At 44.1% G+C, this 22,119-nt stretch overlaps 1 protein-coding gene across 7 annotated transcripts in view, besides 1 other annotated feature; it reads right to left on the reverse strand.

Annotated features, from left to right (window-relative positions):
• Positions 1-22,119, reverse strand: part of SLC18A1 (solute carrier family 18 member A1) — a 38,282-nt gene that overhangs the window by 2,871 nt on the left and 13,292 nt on the right. For 4 of the 7 annotated variants that reach the window (NM_001438745.1, NM_003053.4, NM_001142325.2 and 1 more), the window contains 5 exons: positions 17,322-17,382; positions 17,144-17,239; positions 2,941-3,019; positions 1,951-2,002; positions 282-345 (listed from right to left, as the gene is read on the reverse strand). In NM_001438745.1, coding sequence (NP_001425674.1) covers positions 282-345; positions 1,951-2,002; positions 2,941-3,019; positions 17,144-17,239; positions 17,322-17,382 — 352 coding nt within the window. The remainder of the gene's footprint in view (positions 1-281; positions 346-1,950; positions 2,003-2,940; positions 3,020-17,143; positions 17,240-17,321; positions 17,383-22,119) is intronic. The other 3 variants (NM_001438746.1, NM_001437771.1, NM_001142324.2) reach the window with 1 other exon arrangement.
• Positions 16,665-17,864: an enhancer, noted in NCBI's record as "CDK7 strongly-dependent group 2 enhancer chr8:20021901-20023100 (GRCh37/hg19 assembly coordinates)". NCBI's record gives its function as "activates an origin of replication core promoter dependent on BRD2, BRD4, P300/CBP, MED14 and CDK7 cofactors, with strong dependence on CDK7, by STARR-seq in HCT116 cells {active_cell/tissue: HCT116}" and the evidence as "EXISTENCE:reporter gene assay evidence [ECO:0000049][PMID:35650434]".

Here is a 22,119-nt window from a genome sequence, read left to right on the forward strand (position 1 = left end):
TGGCCAGAGCAAACAGGACACAGTCAGCCCCACCCACAGTTAGTACCACCCCGCCTCTCCTCCTCCATTTAGTCCATTTGCTTTGTCTGCTGTCTTCTGCCTCGGACTAACACCTGTTCCAGGTGGGAATTACGAGCTCATCTCTCCACAACCCTGCCAGCTGCCCTCCTGATCCTTCTGCCTCTGCACCTACCTCCTCTGATGAGAAAAGGGGGAGGAAAGGCATCAGACCCAAAGCCAACATGCAGGGGCTTATTGTTTTCTTTGAGGGCACTTCTTACCTATGGCAAGGCCAAGCCCTGCATTGGGGCCAATGAGACCAAAAATATTGTGAGCCAGAGGAACCTGCATGGGGAAGGAGGAAGAGTCATCAGGACTCCAGATGGGTCAGGTGGGAGCAAGGTTCAAAGAGTTTTCACATGAAATGCATTTATTCAGAGTGCACTATTGGCCACATACATCATCCTCCTGCACTCTCAGACTTTCTCATGGAAAAGAATCTATACCTCCATTTTAAGGATATGAAAACTTGACCAGCGCTGTTGTGTTTATTTATTGCTCTATCCAGAGTTACAGATCTAATGAGTGGCAAGATCAAGTTTGGACCTCAGACTTGGCTCCATTATGCTCTAACGAGGGTCTTCCTCTGTTCCATGGATACTTTCTCCCCTTCCTCTACCCCTCTTCACCTAAACATACACTCCTGGTCTCATTCTTCATGGAATAAAGTTGCCTCTGTTTTCCATTATGGACATCACTGAAAGGTTTCATTTAGACTTCTAACTTGGTAGCTGTTGGAAAAAGAAGATAGAGAAGAGGCCCCAACAACCAGTTAGCTGTAAGCTAGAGGGGGCAGGTGGTGTGGCTTGGGTCCCCTGTCAGGAAGCTTGTGAGACTCATTCCCATTGCCCTCCCAATCCCCCAACAAAAACCCCTTCTTCCCTCTTTTTCAGGTTCCTTACCTCCCTCTCTGGGTACCTGCCATTCAAACCTGCTACCCCAGGACACTCACCCCTTAAGGGTTTAGCATACCGTTTAGATGCTGCTGGCTGATAACAATTTTTAGGGTTCATGCCTCAAGAAATGTTTATAAATTATCAATAGTATTGGCTGAGATTCACTATGGGCTCACCATGTGCCAGACACTGTGGTTTATTTGGATTACCTTGACAACCCTGTGGACACCATCAGAACCCTCTCTACATAGATGAGGATGCTGAGCACACGGAGATGAAGTAACCTGCTCAAAGTCACATGCATAGAAAGTGGCAAAACCTGCCATGGAACCCGGATCCCATGCTCCTGCTCAGGACCTCCAGCTGGTCTTGAGCACAGTTTACAGTGCCTTGTAGCCCTGTTCTTCTCTCCCTCAGGCCTAGGAGGTTTGTGTGTTTCTCATCCCCACTGGGGAGAGGAGGAAATGAAGGCTTTGAGAACTTGAGGGGGATTCTTGGAAATGGAAAAGTCCTTCTTTCTTTCTTCTTCTATCAAGCCTCTGGTGCCAGAGACTGGGACATAGATGATGGTTCCCTGGGGATTTATGAGGCTCTGTCAGGGTGGGATGAGTAAATGAAGTCATAAAACGCACCATTTTGCCATCCCCAGAAATGGATACCAACATGTATCACTTCATATGCCCACATGTACAGCCTCAGACCTCCGGCTCCAGCTGCCCTACAGCCCTCTTCCTCTCCTTTCCCACTTCCCCTCAAAGGAAAGCCACTGCAGCTGGTGGCCTCTTCCCCCGTGCTAAATTCCTGCCTATTCAGAAACAGTCTTTCTGACAGTCCTTGCCAAGCCATCTCTGCTCATCTTAAAGGAAATTAGTCTTTAAATGTCTGTGTCTTTCTCTCTCTCTCTCTCCCTCTCTCTCTCTCTCTCTCTCTCTCTCTGTCTGTCTGTCTCTCGCTCTCTCTCTCCTTCCCCTCCCCCAGGTCTTCTTATACTTACACAGAGCAAGCTGGTACCTACTACCAGCATCCCGATTAGGGAACACAGCCACCTGGAAGAAAAAAGCCATCATCAAACACCACTAGGGGAGAGCTCCCCTCCACCTGTACCCCATCACCGCCATGCTGACCTGTCCCACCAGCCCTAATCCCAGCAACCCCTTAGGACCTGAGGACAGCATCCCTACATGACCAGTTTGTACCCAAATGAGCTCTCTCCCTGCCCTTTCCTTGTCTCCCCTGGCTCCATCCCTTTTTCTATAGAAAGGCAGAGGAGGTGCCGTGGGACACACTCTTCCTTCCCTTACAGGAGGAATCAGCTGACTCAGGAGGCACTTGTTCCTTAGAAGTAGCCCTCAAACTTAACTCATGCTGTTGCCCAGCTCAGACTGCCTCCTACCTGTCCTATTTTATTTGGTCCTTGAGGTCTGTCTCAAAAAACACAGAAAGTACCAAACTTCTTTCCTTCTCTGATGTCCTATGGCAGTGCTTCTAAAATCTTGATGCTAAACTCCAAAGATAAAATTAAAGCTGTCCTTATTGTAGTGAAGGGACAGAATGGAGACTCATAGCTCTTGGCCCCCAACCCTTCCTCCTCAGTGGCCTCTGGGGTGCCTCTATAGAACTCCTTAGGATTCCACAGAACATAATTTGAAAACTACTTTCCCAAAGTACTGCATTTTTCATAGCTGTTCTCTGTTGTGGTTATTTTATCTCCTCAACTGGACAGCAAATGGATGGAAAGTAAGGGGTGCCCCTCATGTATCCACTGCCTCTTCTATAACAATCAGCTCAGAGCTCAGGACAATCCATTCTCCATACCACCCTCACCACTCACTCACTGCCCATCCTCCCAGTGGGAAGTTTTTATCGGTGTGTACTCATCCTAAACTTTCAACCGTATGGAAGCTGTTCATCATTCCAAGATCAGGAACGGGCGCTCTTCCATCTTACATTTCTACTGTTCGTCCCAGATCCCGAGGCTACATACCGACCCATCTTGTTGGCCAACACACCAAAGAGGTTGGTGCCAATGAGGTAGGACACACTGGCAGGCAAGAAAGCTAGACCTGTGGAAGGACACAGATCCTTACCTTAGGACATGTCCAATTTACTCTAAAATGCCTTGTCTCGTACAAGACACTGAAGTCCACCCCTGTAACCTTCCAAGATCCCCAAACCACTTTGTTTTATGATCTGGGGACCTTTGTGCAAACCCACAGTAGTTGCCATAGGACCCCCACACCTCTCCTTTCTTCAGGAGCAAGGCTTTGTTTAGCCTCAGTACTTTTCTTTTTGTTTTCTTTCTTTTTTTGAGACAGGGCCTCACTCTGTCACCCAGGCTGGAGTGCAGTGGTACAATCTCAGCCCACTGCAGCCTCGACCTCCTGGGATCAAGTGATCCTCCCAGCTCAGCCTCCCAAGTGGCTGGGATTACAGATGAACACCACCACACCTAGTTGTTTTTTTTTGTTTTTTTTTTGTTTGTTTGTTTGTTTGTTTGTTTTGTAGAGATGGAGTCTCGTCATGTTGCCCAGGCTGGTCATGAAATCCTGCCTGCCTTGGCCTCCCAAAGTGCTGGGATTACAGATGTGAGCCCCCACACCTGGCCTAGCCTCAGTACATTTAATGTGCTTCCAGCTCCCCACTTAGATTCCTAATGAATGGCCCTGATGAGCCGTTCTCATGTATAAAATACCCTTGATTATCAGCGTGAGAATGTGAGCTTCAGAGGTGGTGTGGTTGGGTGCCACATACCCATACATAATTCCTGGGAAGTGAATTCCTGCCTTGCTACTTACCAGCCCTTCTATTTCTCTGAGAGGGATCTTGGATTAATTACTAAACCTTTCTGAGCCTTGGTTTCCACATCTGGAAAAAGCAAAGCTATGATTATATCATACCGGGTTACAATGTGGAGCAAATTAGGTAATGCATGCAAAAGTATTTTGTAAATTGAAGTCCTGAACACATGGCTTTTTGTGACAGTAGAGGGAAGTGTTCAGGAAACATGGGCTTTGGAGCCACACAAAGCTCCAAATTTTGCATTCAAACCATGGCTTGATGACTTGTTAGCTCTGTGACTTTGGACAATTTACTTAACCTGTCTGAGTCTCTTCCATTCATTCATTCATTCATTCATTCATTTTAACAAACTTTGACCATGTGTCAGGTATTCTGGGGGCTGGGAATACAGCGGTGAATAAGACAAACAAAATTCTAGCCCTCAGCTAGCTTACACTCCAGGGGAGGGAGACATACAATGAACAAGTAAACAAATACACAAAAAAGATAATTTTGAAAAGTGTTGAGTTATGTGCATGAAATTTAATGTGGTGATATAGCAGAGCAACTCAGAAGGGCTATCTGGGATTTCAGGGTTGGGGAAGGCTTCTTTGGGGAAGTGACATTCAAACTGAGACCTTAATAACCAAAAGAGAGCACTTCAAGCAGAAAATAAAAAGCACCTAATGGAAATTAAGATGTCTTAAAGAAATCATTTAGTTTGCTCTAAGAATAGAAAGGATATCTGTGTGCCTGAAATATAAGAGGAAAGTGGAGGGTGAGAAAATGAAGGTCCTAGAAATGAATCTGGTTATTCCAAGGGCAATGGAAGCTTTGGAAGGAAATGACATAATTGGATTTATATTTTCTAAAATCCCCTAGAAGAATGGGTTCATGGGACAAGAGTGGAAGTCAGACTATTTGCAGAATCCAAGAGAAAAGTGATGGTGCCTCAGATTAGAAGTCATGGTGGAGAGAAGTGAACAAAATGGTAGGTTTTGGAGGTAAGTTGGTGACATTTTCTGTTTGATTGGGTAAAGACATAGCGGGAGTGAGGAGGGGAAGTGAGAAATCAGGGATAACCTAGGTTTTTGTCTTAATCGATTGGGTAGCTGGAGATAGGGAAGACTGGTTGAAGTGCAAGAGCATGGGGGGAACGTGAGAGGTTTGAAGTGACTGGTAGATATTCAAGCAGAGCTGTCAGGCAGTTAGATACTTAAAGCCATGCAAATGGATGGGATTGCCTATGAAAGAACAAATAAAGAATAGAGATCCAAGGACTGAGCCTTGGGGGACTCCTATCTTTAGACATTAGCAAAGAAGGCAGAGATAGCACAGGAGATGAGGAGTAGCCAATGAAGTAGGTGAGGGGAGATGGAATCGAGAAGAGGAGTCTGGCCTTTGATCAGGGCTGGGATGCTCCAACCATAATTAAAGAGAAGACTGGGAATGTGGGTTCAGATGCAGGATATTGGGTACACTTAGTGATGGAAACACGACAGTTCCATTCTCATTGCTTCCATTTTATCATAGCTTCTGTTTTCTCAATGAGTAGGAGGCAAAGTCAACCACTGAGAATGATGATGGTGAAGGGACGGGAGTGCATATGGGGCTAAAATGAAGAAATATAAAATAGTCATTTTGGAAAAGAAGAAGGAGGACATAACTAGGGGCTTAGAGAAAGATTGTTGGACAATGTGAAACCCACTTTAGGTTTGTGGCCATAAATATAAGGTGAGACCAACAGCGTGGTTGTGCGTTTTTTTTGCAGCCCCATGCCATGGCTCAGTTACAGACAAGGAGTAGGCAACAAGATAGCTTAGCTAGAGTGAAGTTTTTGGCAAGTGACAAGCCCAGAGGGAGTGAGGAGTTTCAGAAGAGTGACATCCATCATGAGCCATTGAATCCAAGTTGAGGAAAGAAAGAAGTGAGGACAGGCTGGGCGCTGTGGCTCACGCCTGTAATCCCAGCACTTTGGGAGGCAGAGGCGGGTGGATCACAAGGTCAGGAGATCAAGACCATCCTAGCTAACACAGTGAAACCCCATCTCTACTAAAAAATACAAAAAATTAGCTGGGCATGGTGGCAGGTACCTGTAGTCCCAGCTACTCAGGAGGCTGAGGCAGGAGAATGGCATGAACCTGAGAGGCGGAGCTTGCAGTGAGCCACTGCACTCCAGCCTGGGCGACAGAGCAAGACTCTGTCTCAAAAAAAAAAAGAAAGAAGTGAGGACAGGAGTAGTGATGGAAGAAAAATTACTCAGGACAGTGAATTGGTGATCCCAGTTTGGTCCAAAATTGTTGATATGGGACTATTAGAACACCTGAGAAGGGAATATGTAAGATGAGAACTGGATTGTTTGGAATTGAGATTTCAGAGGAAATATAATTAATACTGACATCAAGGTGATATTGCTTGATATTTGTCCTCTTGAAATTTCACGTTATAACTTCATCTCCAGTGGTAAAGGTGGGGCTGAGTGGGAGGTGTTTGGGTCATGGGAATGAATCCCTCGTGAATGGCGTGGTGCTGTCCCCATCCTCACGGTAATGAGTGACTTCTTGCTCTGTAAGTTCACACAAGAGCTGGTTGTTAAAAGAGCTGGGCCTCCTGAGGCCCTCACCAGAGGCAGATGCTGGTGCCAGGCTTCTTGTACAGCATGTAGAACCATAAGCCAAATAAACCTCTTTTCTTTATAAATTACCCAGCCTCAGATATTCCTTTATAGCCATGCAAAATGAACTAATACACAAAGTGAGGGCATAAATAGGATTAAATTGGTTAAGGTGAGAAGGAGGAAAGGATCATTGCAAAAGAGTAGATTAAAAAATTAGGAGGCCAAGATCCACAGTTATCCACCTGGATATTGAAGTCACCAAAAATGGTGACAGGAGTAGAGGTGAAAAGAACATGGACCAGATGTTGACAGCTTTAATGAATGAGGAGGGACAACTAAGAGGTCACTAGATGTTTGCAACAAACAAGGGTTCGGTGGTGTAATCTAACGACATGACATTCAAAGGAGCTGAGATCTTTGAAGGAGAATAGAGAAGAAATGACTCGGAAGCAACAAAGGAGAGCAAGGTGTGGAACATGAACTTCCATCTAGATGTTGCAGGAAAACAATGTTCACAGAAAACATCTGGGTCTCAGTAGGGCAAGAAGATGAAAGACATGTTCAGAGAAAAGGATGAGGGCATAGGATGCTTGCTGATGACAAGTCCAGGATTTGAAAGAGCACTGGGAAATTTGGTAAGATCAAGAAATCTCTGAGGGCAACCCCCTTTGGGAGCTCTGTTTTCACTCTATTAGATCTTGCAACTGTACACTCTTCTGGTCCGTGTTTGTTCTGGCTCGAGCTGAGCTTTCATTCGCCGTCCACCACGGCTGAGCGCTGCCATCACAGACCCACCATTGACTTCCACCCCTCCAGATCTGGCAGGGTGTCCACTGCACTTCTGATCCAGCAAGGCACCCATTGCCACTCCTGATTGGGCTAAAAGCTTGCCATTGTTCCTGCACACCTAAGTGCCCAGGTTCATCCTAATCCAGCTGAACACTAGTCACTGCATTCCACGGTTCTCTTCTGTGACCCACGGCTTCTAATAGAGCTATAACACTCACCACATGGCCCAAGGTTCCATTCCTTGGAATCTGTGAGGCCAAGAACCCCAGGTCAGAGAACAAAAGGCTCGCTGCCATCTTAGGAGCAGCCCGCCCCATCTTGGGAGCTCTAAGAACAAAGACCCTCCAGTAACATCTGGTGGCCTGTACAGGGCTTCTCCAAAGTGGTGAGTAATATTGGATCACTTTTGCTTGCTATTCTGTCCTATCCTTCCTTAGAATCAGAGGAAAATACCGAGCACCTGTCAGCCAGTTACAAACGATTAGCGTGGCTGCTGGACTTAAGACTCAGCTGGGAGGCTTTCTGGGAAAAGGCTTTCTAACAACACCCAATCCTTCTAGGATGGGAGCATTGGTCTGCCTGGAACCAGCTTCTGCTTTCACAATTTTCTTGGGGGAAGCCGAAGGCCGACTAGAGGCAGAAAGCTGTCATCCCAAACTCCGGGCATTGATCAGTCAAGATCATGATGCAACCAGAAGTCTCTACTCTATAGTTGCCCATGTGTGCACCCCTACCTCTTCTTCTGACCCATACCTCCTGGGTTCCAACCATGACTTTCTTGAAAGTGTAGCCCCAGAATTCTCCTTACCTCTGAATCTACTTCCTCCAATCCCTGCCTCCTAGGTACTAATGCTTCAGACTTTCACTTCCTCTCCCAAGTATTAGAGCAAGTTGTATCTCCAAAGGGGATCTAAGGAAGCTCTACACTGTGTCCTTAGGCACCAAGGCTATGAACCCACGGAGTCTTGCCCCTGGTGTCCCTCCCAATTTAGGTATACAGCTCTCAACATGGGCAGTTATGTGGGACCCGTTCCCCACCACCCTTGCAAGGGCCACAAGTTTGTAAATGGCTAGGAGGATTGCTCTGCCATTGTGTAAGTACTCTCCTCTCTCAATTTCTATCCAACTTACCCACCCTGTGCAATACAATCTCCAAGCCTCAGCTCCTTGGCGAGGGCCTTAGAACTGATGACCCAGTACTTTAACACTGGAACTGGGCCTGCGACAACATAATAGATCAGTATCAAAGTGAATTGAGTAAATTAAAGGGATGCCCCAAATGCATTCAATCTGTAGTGGCAACTGCTTTGCTAACAGAAGGAAGTAGAAAAATAACTTTTAGAGGAAACCTCATTGTGAGCACACCTCACCAGTTCAGAACTATCCTAAGTCAAAAAAAAAAAAAAAAGTAGCTTACTAACTCAAAAATCTTAAAGTATGGGGCTAGTCTGTTAAAAAAAAAAAAAGATGACTTAACATTAACCACTGAAAATTCCCTTAACCCAGCCAATTTCCTAACAGGGGATTTTAATCTTAATTACCATACGAAGGTCTGACCAGACTCAGGAGGTACCCCCTTAAGGACAGGAAGATAGATGGTTCCTCCCGGGTGACTGAGGGAAAAAACCGTAATGGGTATTCAGTAATTGATAAGGAAACTCTTGTAGAAGCAGAGTTGGGAAAATTGCCTAATAATTGGTCTGCTCAAAGGTGTGAGCTGTTTGCATTCAGCCAAGCCTTAAAGTACTTACAAAACCAGTAAGCCCATCTTTTTCTCCTTGCTCTTCTTCTTTTAGGAAAAAGGCACACAGGATAAACAGGATCCATCTCTCATATTTCTTACCCAAAAGGACTTAATCCGGGGCAACAAAAAGTTTAAGATCAATAATTAGGGTGTATTCCTACAAAGGAAAAGGACAAATGCCCTAGTGGGCAAAAACTCTATCTCAATCCTGACTCAAAGGGTTACCTACACCCTCTCTGAAATGAATTTGCATAAGAATTGTTGTTTATGGGAATGCATCTTGATGGGGCAACTGGGTTGCGCAGCCCAGCTCAAGAACTCACCCCTGATCGCAAAGGCAATGTTGGGCACGCTGGTAATGGACCACCATAATCCAGCAGCCTGGACTCCTTTCTTTGTGGTCAAGAAAGGCGGGAAAACAGGTGCAGGACTGCTACATCGGTGAGCGTAACTAATCCGGTAAGCAGATGTCCCTGGGTGGTTACACACCCTGGAAAGGAATAAGCATTAGGACCATAGAGGACACTCTAGGACTAATGCTCATCGGAAAATGACTAGGGGTGCTGGCATCCTCATGTTCTTTTTTCAGATGGGAAACGTTTTCCCCAAGGCAAAAACGCCCCTAAGATGTATTCTGGAGAGATATAATGTTACTGCTAGATCAGACACTAACCCCAAATGAAAGAAGGGCAGCTATAATTGCAGCCTGAGAGTTTGGCGATCTCTGGTATCTCAGTCAGGTCAATGATAGGGTGACAACAGAGGAAAGAGAACGATTCCCCACAGGCCAGTAGGCAGTTCCTAGTGTAGACTCTCATTATGATGCAGAATCACAACATGGAGATTGGTGCCGCAGACATTTGCTAACTTGCGTGCTAGAAGGACTAAGGAAAACTAGGAAGAAGGCTATGAATTACTCAGTGATATCCATTATAACACAGGGAAAGGAAGAAAATCCTACTGCCTTTCTGGAGACACTAAGGGAGGCATTGAGGAAGCATACCTCTCTGTCACCTGACTCTATTGAAGGCCAACTAATCTTAAAAGATAAGTTTATCACTCAGTCAGCTGCAGATATTAGAAACAAACTTCAAAAGTCCACTTTAGGCCCAGAGCAAAACTTAGAAACCCTACTGAACTTGGCAACCTCAGTTTTTTATAATAGAGATCAGGAGGAGCAGGTGGAATGGGACGAACGGGAGAAAAAGAAGGCCACCCCTTTAGCCATGTCCCTCGGCAAGTGGACTTTGGAGGCTCTGGAATATGGAAAGCCTGGGCAAATCAAATGCCTAATAGGGCTTGCTTCTAGTGCAGTCTACAAGGACGCTTTAAAAAAGATTGTCCGAATAGAAATAAGCCACCCCCTCATCTATGCCCCTTATGTCAAGAGAATCACTGGAAGGCCCACTGTCCCAGGGGACGAAGGTCCTCTGAGTCAGAAGCCACTAACAGATGATCCAGCAGCAGGACTGAGGGTGCCCAGGGCAAGTGCCAGCCCATGTCATCACCCTCACAGAGCCCTGGGTATGCTTGACCTTTGAGGGCCAGGAGGTTAACTGTCTCCTAGACACTGGTGCAGCCTTCTCAGTCTTACTCTCCTGTCCCTGACAACTGTCCTCCAGATCTGTCACTATCTGAGAGGTCCTAGGACAGGCAGTCACTAGATACTTCTCCCAGCCACTAAGTTGTGACTGGAGAACTTTGCTCTTTTCACATGCCTTTCTAATTATGCCTGAAGGCCCCACTTCTTTGTTAAGGAGAGACATTCTCGCAAAAGCAGGGGCCATTATACACCTGAACATACAGAAGGAACACCTGTTTGTTGTGCCCTGCTTGAGGAGGGAATTAATCCTGAAGTCTGGGCAACAGAAGGACAATATGGAGGAGCGAAGAATGCCCGTCCCGTTCAAGTTAAACTAAAGGATTCCACCTCCTTTCCCTACCAAAGGCAGTACCCCCTTAGACCTGAGGCCCAACAAGGACTCCAAAAGATTGTTAAGGACCTAAAAGCCCAAGGCCTTGTAAAACTATGCAACAGCCCCTGCAGTACTCCAATTTTAGGAGTCCAGAAACCCAACGGACAGTGGAGGTTAGTGCAAGATCTCAGGATTATCAGTGAGGCTATTGTCCCTCTATACCAAGCTGTACCTAACCCTTATACTCTGCTTTCCCAAATACCAGAGGAAGCAGAGTGACTCACAGTCCTGGACCTTAAGGATGCCTTTTTCTACATCCCTGTACATCCTGACTCTCAATTCTTGTATGCCTTTGAAGACCCTCTGTACCCATACTTGCCTGGTAAGCCTATTTAATACCACCCTCACTAGGCTCGATGGAACCTTGGCCAAAATCCTACTAACTGTTGGATGTACCTCCCGCTGCACTTTAGGCTATACATTTCAATCTCTGTATCTTAACCTCCTGGTTAAGTTTGTCTCTTCCAGAATTGAAGCTGTAAAACTATAAATGGTTCTTCAAATGGAGCCCCAGATGCAGTCTGTGACTAAGATCTACTACAGACCCCTGGACTGGCCTGCTAGCCCATGCTCCAATGTTGATGACATCGAAAGCACCCCTCTCAAGGAACTTTCAACTGCATGACCCCTACTATGCCCCAGTTCGGCAGGAAGCAGTTAGAGCGGTCATCAGCCAACCTCCCCAACAGCACTTGGGTTTTCCTGTTGAGAGGGGGTACTAACAGACAGGACTAGCTGGATTTCCTAGGCCAATTAAGAATTCCTAAGCCTAGCTGGGGAAGGTGACCACACCCACCTTTAAACAAGGGGCTAGTAACTCAGCTCACACCTGACCAATCACATAGTAAAGAGAGCTCACTAAAATACCAATTAGGCTAAAAGCAGGAGGTAAAGAAATAATCAAATAATCTATCACCTGAGAGCACAGAGGGAGGGACAATGATCGGGATATAAACCCCAGGCATTCCAGCCAGCAGTGGCAATTCCCTTTGGGCCGCCTCCCATTATATGGTAGCTCTGTTTTCACTCTATTAAATCTTGCAGCTGCCAAAAAAAAAAAAAAAAAAAAAAAAAAAAAGAAAGAAAAAGAAAAGAAAAGAAATCTCTGAAATATGGGGATAATCATAATTTCTACCAGACAGGCCAGTTGTGAGGTTTAAACAAAATAGTGCATATCAAACATTTTGCATCGTGCCTGTCGCAGAGTAAGGGCCCTACAAGCACTGGTCTTGATTATTATCATCATAACTCGTGAGTGGCATGTCAGGACTTGAGTCCAGGCCATCTCACTCTAACTCCAAGTGTTTCCACTATGCCACACCCCCAGCGTGGTAGCACAGATGGCTCTGGTATAAGGAACTGTTTGAGATCAGCAGAGTGAGTTTGTCTGGATCTCACCAGCCCTTTTAATCCCTCTCTATACCTAGAAAAAAACAGTGCAGGCTAACAAAAAATACCATGGCAATTACAATTAAATTAAAAGTCAACAATCAACCATTTATTGGCTGACAACTTGTTTGCTTTTAATATTCTCTTCTATGGAGTAGAAGTAAGCACACCTTAGTGTATTTGTGTAGGCTATCCTGGACAGGTGGCAATCTGTTGCAAACTGTACCCATTCGTTTATATTTAATTGCTTAAAAAAATTAAAACTACTCAATTGTTTATCTAGTATGTGGAAGTAAGCACCTCTAGGAAGCCTACAGCCTCCTAGATACACCTCCTTGACATCATTTTAAATGGTGTAAAATTTCCTTAATTAGATTTTTCTCAATCCACGTTGCTCGTTCTTTAGGACCTGATTATAGCTTACATTTTAGCAGTATTTTGTGCAAAATAGGTGCTCCAGAATATGTATTTATAGATACATGACCCCTGCATGAAAAACATCTGTTTTTCACAGTGAATCTCTAAGGGGTGAGGGATTACACATTTTGTGACTATCAAAATGGTTTAAAGTAAAATTGTACAAATAATTTTTTATTTACTGATAGTATCCTGTATTCCACGCACTGGGCTAATCCATTTAGGATTCCAGATGAAAATGACTCTGAAAAATACCTACTTTTTTACAAATTAAAAAACTGAAGTTGGTCTTAGTCTGTTTTATTTTTGCTGCTGTAACATATTACCACAGATTGGGTAATTCTTAAAGAAAAAAGATGTATTTGGATCACAATGCTGGAAGCTGGGAATCGCAAGTGCATGGCACCAGCATCTGCTTGGCCATCTGGTGAGGGACTTCTTGTTGGGTCATAATACAGCCGAAGGGTATCACATGGAGAAAGGGCATTTGAGAGAGAAAAGAAAAAGGGGCCAAACTCCCCCCTTTTGTGACTAACCCACTCCTATGATAATTGCTTTAATCTATTCATAAAGGTGGTGCCCCTAGGACTTTATCACCTACTAAAGGTTCCACTTCTCAACACTGTTGCATTGGGGATTAAGTTTCCAACACACAAATTTTGGAGGACATAGCATTCTACCCCCGGCCTCCAAAATTCATGTCCTTGTCACAATGCAAAATGCATTCAATCCATCCCAATAGTTTCAGAAGTCTTAAGTGGTTCCAGTGTAAACTCAAAAGTCCAAAATCCAGAGTCTTGTCTAAATTAGTTATGGGTGAGATTCAAGGTACGATTAATCCTGAGGCAAATTCCCTCCAGCTGTGAGCGTGTGAAATCAAAACAAATTATACTTGGCCCTTTGTATTTGCAGGTTTCACATCCTTGGATTCAACTAATCGCAGATCAAAAATATATGAGGAAAAAAAATAAAAATAACAGTACAAGATAAAAATAATACAAAAAAGAAAATAATACAGTATAACAACTATTTATATAGCATTTCCATTGCATTAGGTGTTACAAGTCATTGAGAAATGATTATAGTACATGGAAGTACGTGTGTAGATTATATGCAAATACGATGCCATTCTATGTAAGGGACTTGAACATCCTTTGAGTTTGGTATCCGTGAGGAGTCCTAGAACCACTCTCCTATGCACACCAAGGGATAATTTACCTACTTTCAAAAATAATGGTGGAACAAAGATAGAACAGGCATTCTTATTTCAAAAGGAAGCAACAGGGAAGAAGAAAGGGGTAACAGGTCCCACGAAAGTCCAAAGCCCAAAACAGAAAACAATATTATGTCTTAAAGCTGGAGAATAATTGCCTTTGACTCCATGTCCAAAATCCTGGGCACACTGGAGTGGAGTTTGGACCCCTAAGGCATCAGGCAGCCCCATGTCTGTGGTCTTTCCGGGCTGAGTCTACCCAGCAGCAATCATGGGTTGGAGTCTTGTGCTTGCAGGCCACCATGCTGGTGCCCCTACAGTTCCGTGATCTTGGAAGTGGCTGTGCATGGCATCTTTTGAAATTTAGGTGGAAGAAGTCATGCACCCATAGCTCTTGCATTCTGCGCACGTGCAAAATTTGCACCACATAGACACCACCAAGGCTTACCACTTGCACCCTCCAGAGTGGGAGGCCAGGCCACATCTGGGCCCACTTGAGCCATGGCTGGCACAGTTGAGGGGCACTGCACTGAAACGCAGAGAGCAGAGTCCCAAGGTGGTCCTGGGCAGTGAGCCCATGGAGGGTGTCCCAGGCTTATTCCCAAACCATTCTGCCCTCCTACATCTCTGGGCCAGTAATGGGAAGCACAGCTTCGAAGGTCTCTAAAATGCCTTTGGGTCTTTCTCCCACAGTCTTAATAAGTGGTGCCTGGCTCACTTTTATCCACACTAATCACTTTAGGTTGCTTGGCCACAGTCTTGGTGTGCTCTCCTAAAGATGCCTTTTCTTTCTTTCCAAGGCCAGGCAGCAAATTTTCCAAGTCTTTCTGTTTTGTTTCTCTTTTAACCATAAATTTCACCTTTAAATCATTTCTTTGCTTTCACATGTCACTATATATGCAGTTAAAACAGCCACAAAGCAGCCTGAAGCTTTGCTGCTTAGATATTTCTTCTGCCAGATATCCTAGTTTATTGCCTCTAAGTTCTTCATTCCATGAAGTCCTAGGTTATGGATACAAGTCTGCCAAGTTTTTTGTAACTGTATAACAAGGATGGCCTTTACTCTAGTGTCCAATACCTTGTTCCTCATTTCTATCTGAGACCTCGTCAGAATGACCTTCACTGTCCATATTTCTATCAACATTCTGGTCACAACCTCTTAACCAATGTCTAAAAAGATTCAGACTTTCTCTATAGCTCTCCTCTTCTTCTGAGCCCTCACCAGAATCACCCTTAATGCCTTAACCACAGCAATACAGGCTCTTTCTAGCCTGCTCCTCCAAATTATTGCAGCCTCTACCAATTTTCCAGTTCCAAAGCTGCTTCCATATTTTCAAGTATTTGTTATAGCAGCAGCCCGGTTTCTCATTACCCATTTTCTGTCTTAGTCCATTTTCTGCTGCTATAATATAACAGAATACCAGAGTGCATGATTTATCAATGAAAGAGATTTATTTGGCTCAGGGTTCTGGAGGTTAAGAAGTTCAAAGGCAAGCCTCTAGTGTCTGTTTGGCCACCTGGGGAGTGCCTGGTTGCTGGATCATAACATGGCCAAAGGGGGTCACATGGAGAGAGAGCACACATGAGAGAGATGTAAAGGGAGCTGAACTCCCCTTTTATTATGACAAACTCACTCCCATGATAATGGCCTTAATCCATTCATGAGGGTGCTCCCATGATCTCATCATCTCTCAAAGGTCCCACTTCTCAAGACTGTTGCACTGGGGATTCAATTTGCAACATATAAATTTTGGGGGACACATTCACACCATATCAGAGGTCAAAGAGGTTAAATAACTTATCCGAGGTCACAATCAGTAAGTGACGTGGTCAGCATTCAAACCCAGGTGGACCTGGGCTATTTCCTCCCCTTGGTGATGCTACCTAGTATATGGTGGGCCACATAGCAAGCACTCAGAGGCAGACTACACATTACTTTCAAAAGCATGGACTCCTTTGGCTCCCAACACCTTTGAGGGATGCTCTTCATGTACAGCAGCGATTTTCTAGGTGTGATCACTGACCAGCTATATTAGCATCACCTGCAGACTTACTAGGGATGAAAACTTGTTTTGACTAAATTGCCTACTGTCTCCCAGCAATCAGAGTTTTAACAAGCTCTCTAGGTGATTCTGATGTAGTTGTTGGACAACCTTTGATGTCAGACTTTACAGACCAGATAGCATTGAGAAAGCTGTAAAAGATGGTGGCAACTGAGTGACTGGTAACTGAGTAATTGGTAACTGGCAACTGAGAATGGTCCCTAGGCTGCTGGGGAGGAGCTGCTCTGTGTTGTAGCTGCTCACTAGTATCGAGACCCTGAGTGGTCAGAGCCTTAGGGCAGGCGATGAATTATCTGCACTGAATACCGACTAACTCAATTAATCGTCATGGTCAAAAGCACTTGCAACCCATAAAAATTCAATTTGGCACTAGGAGTGCAGCTGGGAGTCTTGCTTAGAATTGCCCCCCCAAAATTAGATTTAGTGCTTTTTATTGCATGCTGAACTATATCATGTTCTTATCAGCTTCCCCTCTGGCCCCGTAAGCCTCTCCTCCCTGCAGTGATGGAGCAATTTGCACGTAGCCTTCCCTGTCCTCTTTCCTCAGGGTTCCTGGGAAGGGCTAGATCCTCCTCTCCAAGCTCCTCTCTAAGTCGCTGCATGAACAAAGGAAGCTGGAACCCTCTCTCCTGGGCCCATAGCTTTTCCTAAGTGAGTGCTACATACACCCCTTTTTAGAGGTAAAAAAGATAACCAAAGGGTAGTCTTGAGGATGAGGAGCTGAAGGGAGGAGAATGTGGATGGTAATGGTGCACATTAATATTGTACAGGGTACAAAGCATTTTCACCTCATATGTCATTTATTCATCCAATTTCTCTTGAACTAGATAGTATTTTGATGCTCATTTTAGCAATGAGAAAAGTGATGCTCAGAGGGTTTAAGGCATCTGCACAAGTTTTCACAGAAAATCAAAGGAGCTGAAACCAAAACCTGAATCTTTGGACTGGAAATCATTAATCATCCTACTACACAGCTAGGTATGTGACCTCTCCATAGCCCCTTTCATCCTCTCTCACCCTCCCCTTTCTCAGACTGCTTCTCTGAGGGACCACACACCCTCTTGGGCTTGATTCATGGGTGTGGACGTGGGAGGTCATTCTACAAAGGAAGCATGTTGTCCCTGTGTGACATTGAACGAAAGGACTCATGGCACCCACCTCCTCCTGCCAGGCCCTGAGCGGGGGTGCTGAGGTCACTTACCCAGCTGCCACTTGGGGGAGCACATGGTCTGCATCATCCAGATGGGCAGTGTGGGCTCCAGGATGGCCACCCCCATGTTGGCAAAGCAGATGGACCCTGGGGAGACTGTTCTGTGAGCAGCCGTGGCTGCTTGAAGCCCAGACACTCCCCGCCCAATGGGAGGTCATCGCCAGCTTACCTGCAGCCACCAGGATGTAAGGGTCTTTGAGAAGCATAAAGAGGGGAGTCCCCTTGGCACTCTGAGAACATGGATAACAAAAAATGTCCATTTGTACAGTGCATACATCTCTCCTATTTTCACAGAATCTGAGAAAGTACAATTATGGGCTTAGAGACCATCTACAGTATCTCCTTTACTGCAGAGACCAGGAACCCCAGTACAGGGAGAGAAAGTGACTTGTCTGATGCCACAGAGGAAGCTGGAGGCAGGACCCCTCCTGTGTGAAAGGTAGGCACTGTAATAGTCACAGATAGAGAAGCAACATATTCCAGCCATGGTTCCTGCGTTCACGTGACCATCAACAAGGTCAGAGTGGATTGGTAGCAAGGTCAGGGTTGGACAATAGATGTCTGGACTCCTGGTTTCCACTAGATCTCCCTGGTACTAATATTTGTCCTGGGAGAACCACAGGCAGAGCACCGAATCCCAAAAGCAAGCACAGAAGCCATAACTCAGAAAGCCTCTCAAGCTTTCTGAATTCTTCATTCTGATCATTTTGAGCCACACTGAACTAAGGTAGAAGAAGCAGGGTTAAAATACAGCCTAAACATCCAGGACCCACTCTCGTCAGGACACACTCTCATCTAAACTTGGTCGCCCCACCCTCTTTCCAAGCATCCCAGCAGTGCCTCAGCCATCATTATTGCCTTTGCCTAAACTACACGTTCTGAGCTTCTCCATAGTTCCATGTTCTACCCACTCTTTAAAGTCAAGCTTAAATGGCTCCTTCTTTTCTAGAGAGCTCCCTGACTCAGTAGCTGGGGCTTCTCTCTCTTCCAGACATCCTGAACACTATGTCCTAATCCTTCATGGTGTTTACTACTTTCTATCTTGTAATAGATTGGATCATTTTGGTATGATAACCCTCTCTGCACACACACAATAGTGGATTGATAAATTTAGAGATCCTAAAACTAAAGAGATCATTCGCTTACCCAATTATTATTCGAAGTAAAGAAACTGATGTAAATCATTAAAATATACATTTAAAAGTACAATAAACCCTTTGACCCAACAGTCCCACTTCTAGGAATTGACTCTAAAGATTAATGACAACATTATAAACATGCAGTCATGCAAATTACAGCACTATTTATAACTATAAAATACTGAAAACTACCTAAACATAGGAGATGGAATAAAATATGGCGCACACACTATTGTGTACACATACAAAATTGTGTGTGGGTGTGTGTGTGTCTATATATATATATATATATATATATATATATATATATATATACACCACCAGGTGGAAAATAATAAGGAAAGATTCTGTGAACTAGTAGAGTAATTTTCAGGACATATTATTGAGAAAAAAAGGAGAACGCAAAAAAAAGAATACATAGTGTGCTGCCTTTCATATAATAGAAAAGGGAAAAATAAGAAAACACATAAGCGATTTATTTTGAGGAAAAAACACTAAGACACAGGAAAGACAAACCAGAAGGCATTAAAATTGGTTACCTATGAGTGGTAGGGGTGGGAGAGGGGGAGGGTTAGAAAGACTGGAGGGATTGACACTTTCTGAGTACACCTTTTGGAATAATTTTGACTTTTAGGTGGTAATGTCCTATATATTAAAAAAATAAATTATATTAGTGTTATGGGCTGAATGGAGTCCCCCCACCTTAGTCAAATTAGTATGTTGAAGTCCTAACCTAATATGACTGTGTTTGGAGACAGTATCTTCAGGGAGGTAATTAAGGTTAAATGAGGTCATAAGAGTGGGGGCTCTAATCTGAAAAACTGTTTTCCTTATAAAAAGAGGAAGGGACATCAGGGCTCTCTTCCTCTGTGCATGCACACTGAGTAAAGGCCATGTGAGGACGCACTGAGAAGGTGGCTGTCTGCAAGCCAGGAAGAGAGGCCTCACCAGAAACCAACCCTCAACAGTACCTTGACCATGGACGTTCAGCCTCCAGAGTCGTGAGAAAATAAATATGTGTTGTTTAAGCTACCCAATCTGTAGTATTTTGTTCTGGCATCTTGAACAGACTAAGATAATTAGCCAGAATGGAGAAAAAAAACTAAAACTAAATGCCAAAAAAAAAAAACCCCACAAATGGATGCAAATGAATTTCAAATGTATCATGCATTACATAATCACACTAAAGGTGGAAAAAAGAACTAATGGAAGTACGGTAATTTCTAGATACAGTATTTGGCTATATTCATTAAGTCTAAGGGAAAAAGAACTGAAAAGTCTTGAATATTTCTTGGTAGCTTTGTTTTTTATAATGGCATGGGTAAGTATTATAGAATTATACAAGTAAGTAAATTTTTTAATCTATTTGTAAAATAGGTGTTTCACCTATTTGTATAATAGGGGGAGACAAATTTCTTACTTTGAAAGAAGAATACATGTATGGAATGGGGCAAGCAGGGAAAAATCCCGTGGAGTTGGGCTGGAAGTGGAGGTCTCAGTACAAACTTGTGTGTGTGTATTAGCTCTGTCATCAAGATGGCAGGGAAACAAGGTGACCCCAATGGCAAAGAGCACATTGAGTCCCCATAGTTTTTTGTTTTTTTTGTTTTTTTTGTTTTTTTGAGACAGAGTCTTGCTCTGTAGCCCAGACTGGAGTGCAGTGGCATGATCTTGGCTCACTGCAAGCTCCTCCTCCTGGGTTCATGCCATTCTCCTGCCTCAGCCTCCTGAGTAGCTGGGACTACAGGCACCCACCGCCACGCCTGGCTCATTTTTTTGTATTTTTAGTAGAGACGGGATTTCACTGTGTTAGCCAGGATGGTCTCAATCTCCTGACCTCATGATCCGCCTGCCTCGGCCTCCCAAACTGCTGGGATTACAGGCGTGAACCACCGTGCCCGGCCCCATAGTTTGGTTTCTAAACACCATTCCCTACTAACAAGAACCTGGGCTCCTTGGGGAAATGAATTCAGGGCTGAGGCAGGGAAAGTACAAGATGAACGTAGGACATATTTTTGTATCGAAAAGTAAAACATTACTCAAAAAACAATGAAGGTATGTTAAAATGACACAGCAACAAGTTAATGGGCTTTGACTTGTCAAATCTAGGACAATTTGAGCATCAAAATAATTAAGGACGGGAGGCCAGGAGTTCAAGGCCAGCCTGGGCAACACAGGCAGACCCGGTCTCTATAAAAAGTTAAGCTGGGTGTGGTGGCATGCCTGTGTAGTCTCAGCTACTCAAGAAGCTGAGGCAAGAGGGTCACTTGAACCCAAGAGTTGGAGGCTACAGTGAGCCATGATCACACCTCTACACTCCAGCCTCAGTCACAGAAAGAGGCCCTGTCTCCAAAAAAAAATTAAACAAGTAAATAGAGTGATGAACTACAAAAATAGGACTCCATGATTCTACACTGATAATATCAGATAAATAAATGTTTTTTAAGTTTTTTGTGAACATAATCACATGTACATAAAATTATTATATACCTATTTGGTATAAATATTTATAAATATATACATATAAAGAGAGTAAGAAAGGAATGGCTATTGCTTTTTTGTTTTTTAGAGTATTTTTTTTGAGACAGAGTCTTACTTTGTCACCCAGGCTGGAGTGCAGTGGCTTACTGCAACCTCCGCCTCCTAGGTTCAAGGGATTCTATTGCCTCAGCCTCCTGAGTAGCTGGGATTACGGTGTGCACCACCATGCCCAGCTAATTTTTTTGTACTTTTAGCAGAGACAGGGTTTTGCCATGTTGGCCAGGCTGGTCTCAAACTCCTGGTCTCAAGTGATCCGCCTGCCTTGGAGGAATGGCTATTCCTTACAGCAAAGTGCCAACTGATGATTTGGATGAATTGGTGAACTAGAAAAACCAGTATTTTGTAAACATTATAGTAAAGATTGGGTCAGTCAAGAATCATCAATGGATAACAAATCTAGGCAGAAAGGAAATTTAAGGAGGAGTAGGAGATTTATATGACTTTACAACATCTCCCACATGTTATATATTAGTTACAAGGTGAAGAAGTAATTACTACACAAGAGACCCAGACAACACCTTGACCCAGTGATCAAAATGGACATCACCACTGAGAGGCGACGGGCATTAAATACCTCCAGACATGAAACTCAGAAGGCTACGGTATCATGAAGAAACATCAGACAAACCAAATTTAGGAATACCCTATAGATAATTGTCACAAATGTCAATGTCATGAAAGATAAAGGCTGAGAACTTTTCCAGATTAAAAGAGGCTAGAGAGGTGTGATGCATAAATGTCTTACACAGTCATGGACTGGGCTTTGCATTAGAGAAAAAAAGACTTCCATGGAAGACATTATCGGAATAATTGACACAATCAGAGTAGGCACGGCAAATTAGACTAAAGTATTATATCCATGTTAAATTTCCTGAATTTGATAGCTCCATTGACATTACATAAAAAAAAATCCTGTTCTTAGGGAAAATGCTCTAAAGTATCAAGGGGTAAGGGAACGATACAATCAATCTACTGTCAACTGGCTCAAAACATTAGTAATAATAATAATAATGTATATTTGTTAGAAAGAGAGAGAATGGGCTGGGTGCGGTGGCTCATGCCTACAATCCCAGCACTTTGGGAGGCTGAGGCGGATGGATCACTTGAGCTCAGGAGTTCGAGACCAGCCTGGCCAACATGGTGAAATCCTGTCTCTACTAAAAACATAAAAATTAGCTGGGCATGGTGGTGCGTGCTTGTAATCCCAGCTACTTGGGAGGCTGACACAGGAGAATCATTTGAACCTAGGAGGCAGAGGTTGCAGTGAGCCGAGATCGCCCCACTGTA

The sequence above is a fragment of the Homo sapiens genome, chromosome 8 (assembly GCF_000001405.40).
Source record: "Homo sapiens chromosome 8, GRCh38.p14 Primary Assembly".
NCBI lineage: Eukaryota > Metazoa > Chordata > Mammalia > Primates > Hominidae > Homo > Homo sapiens.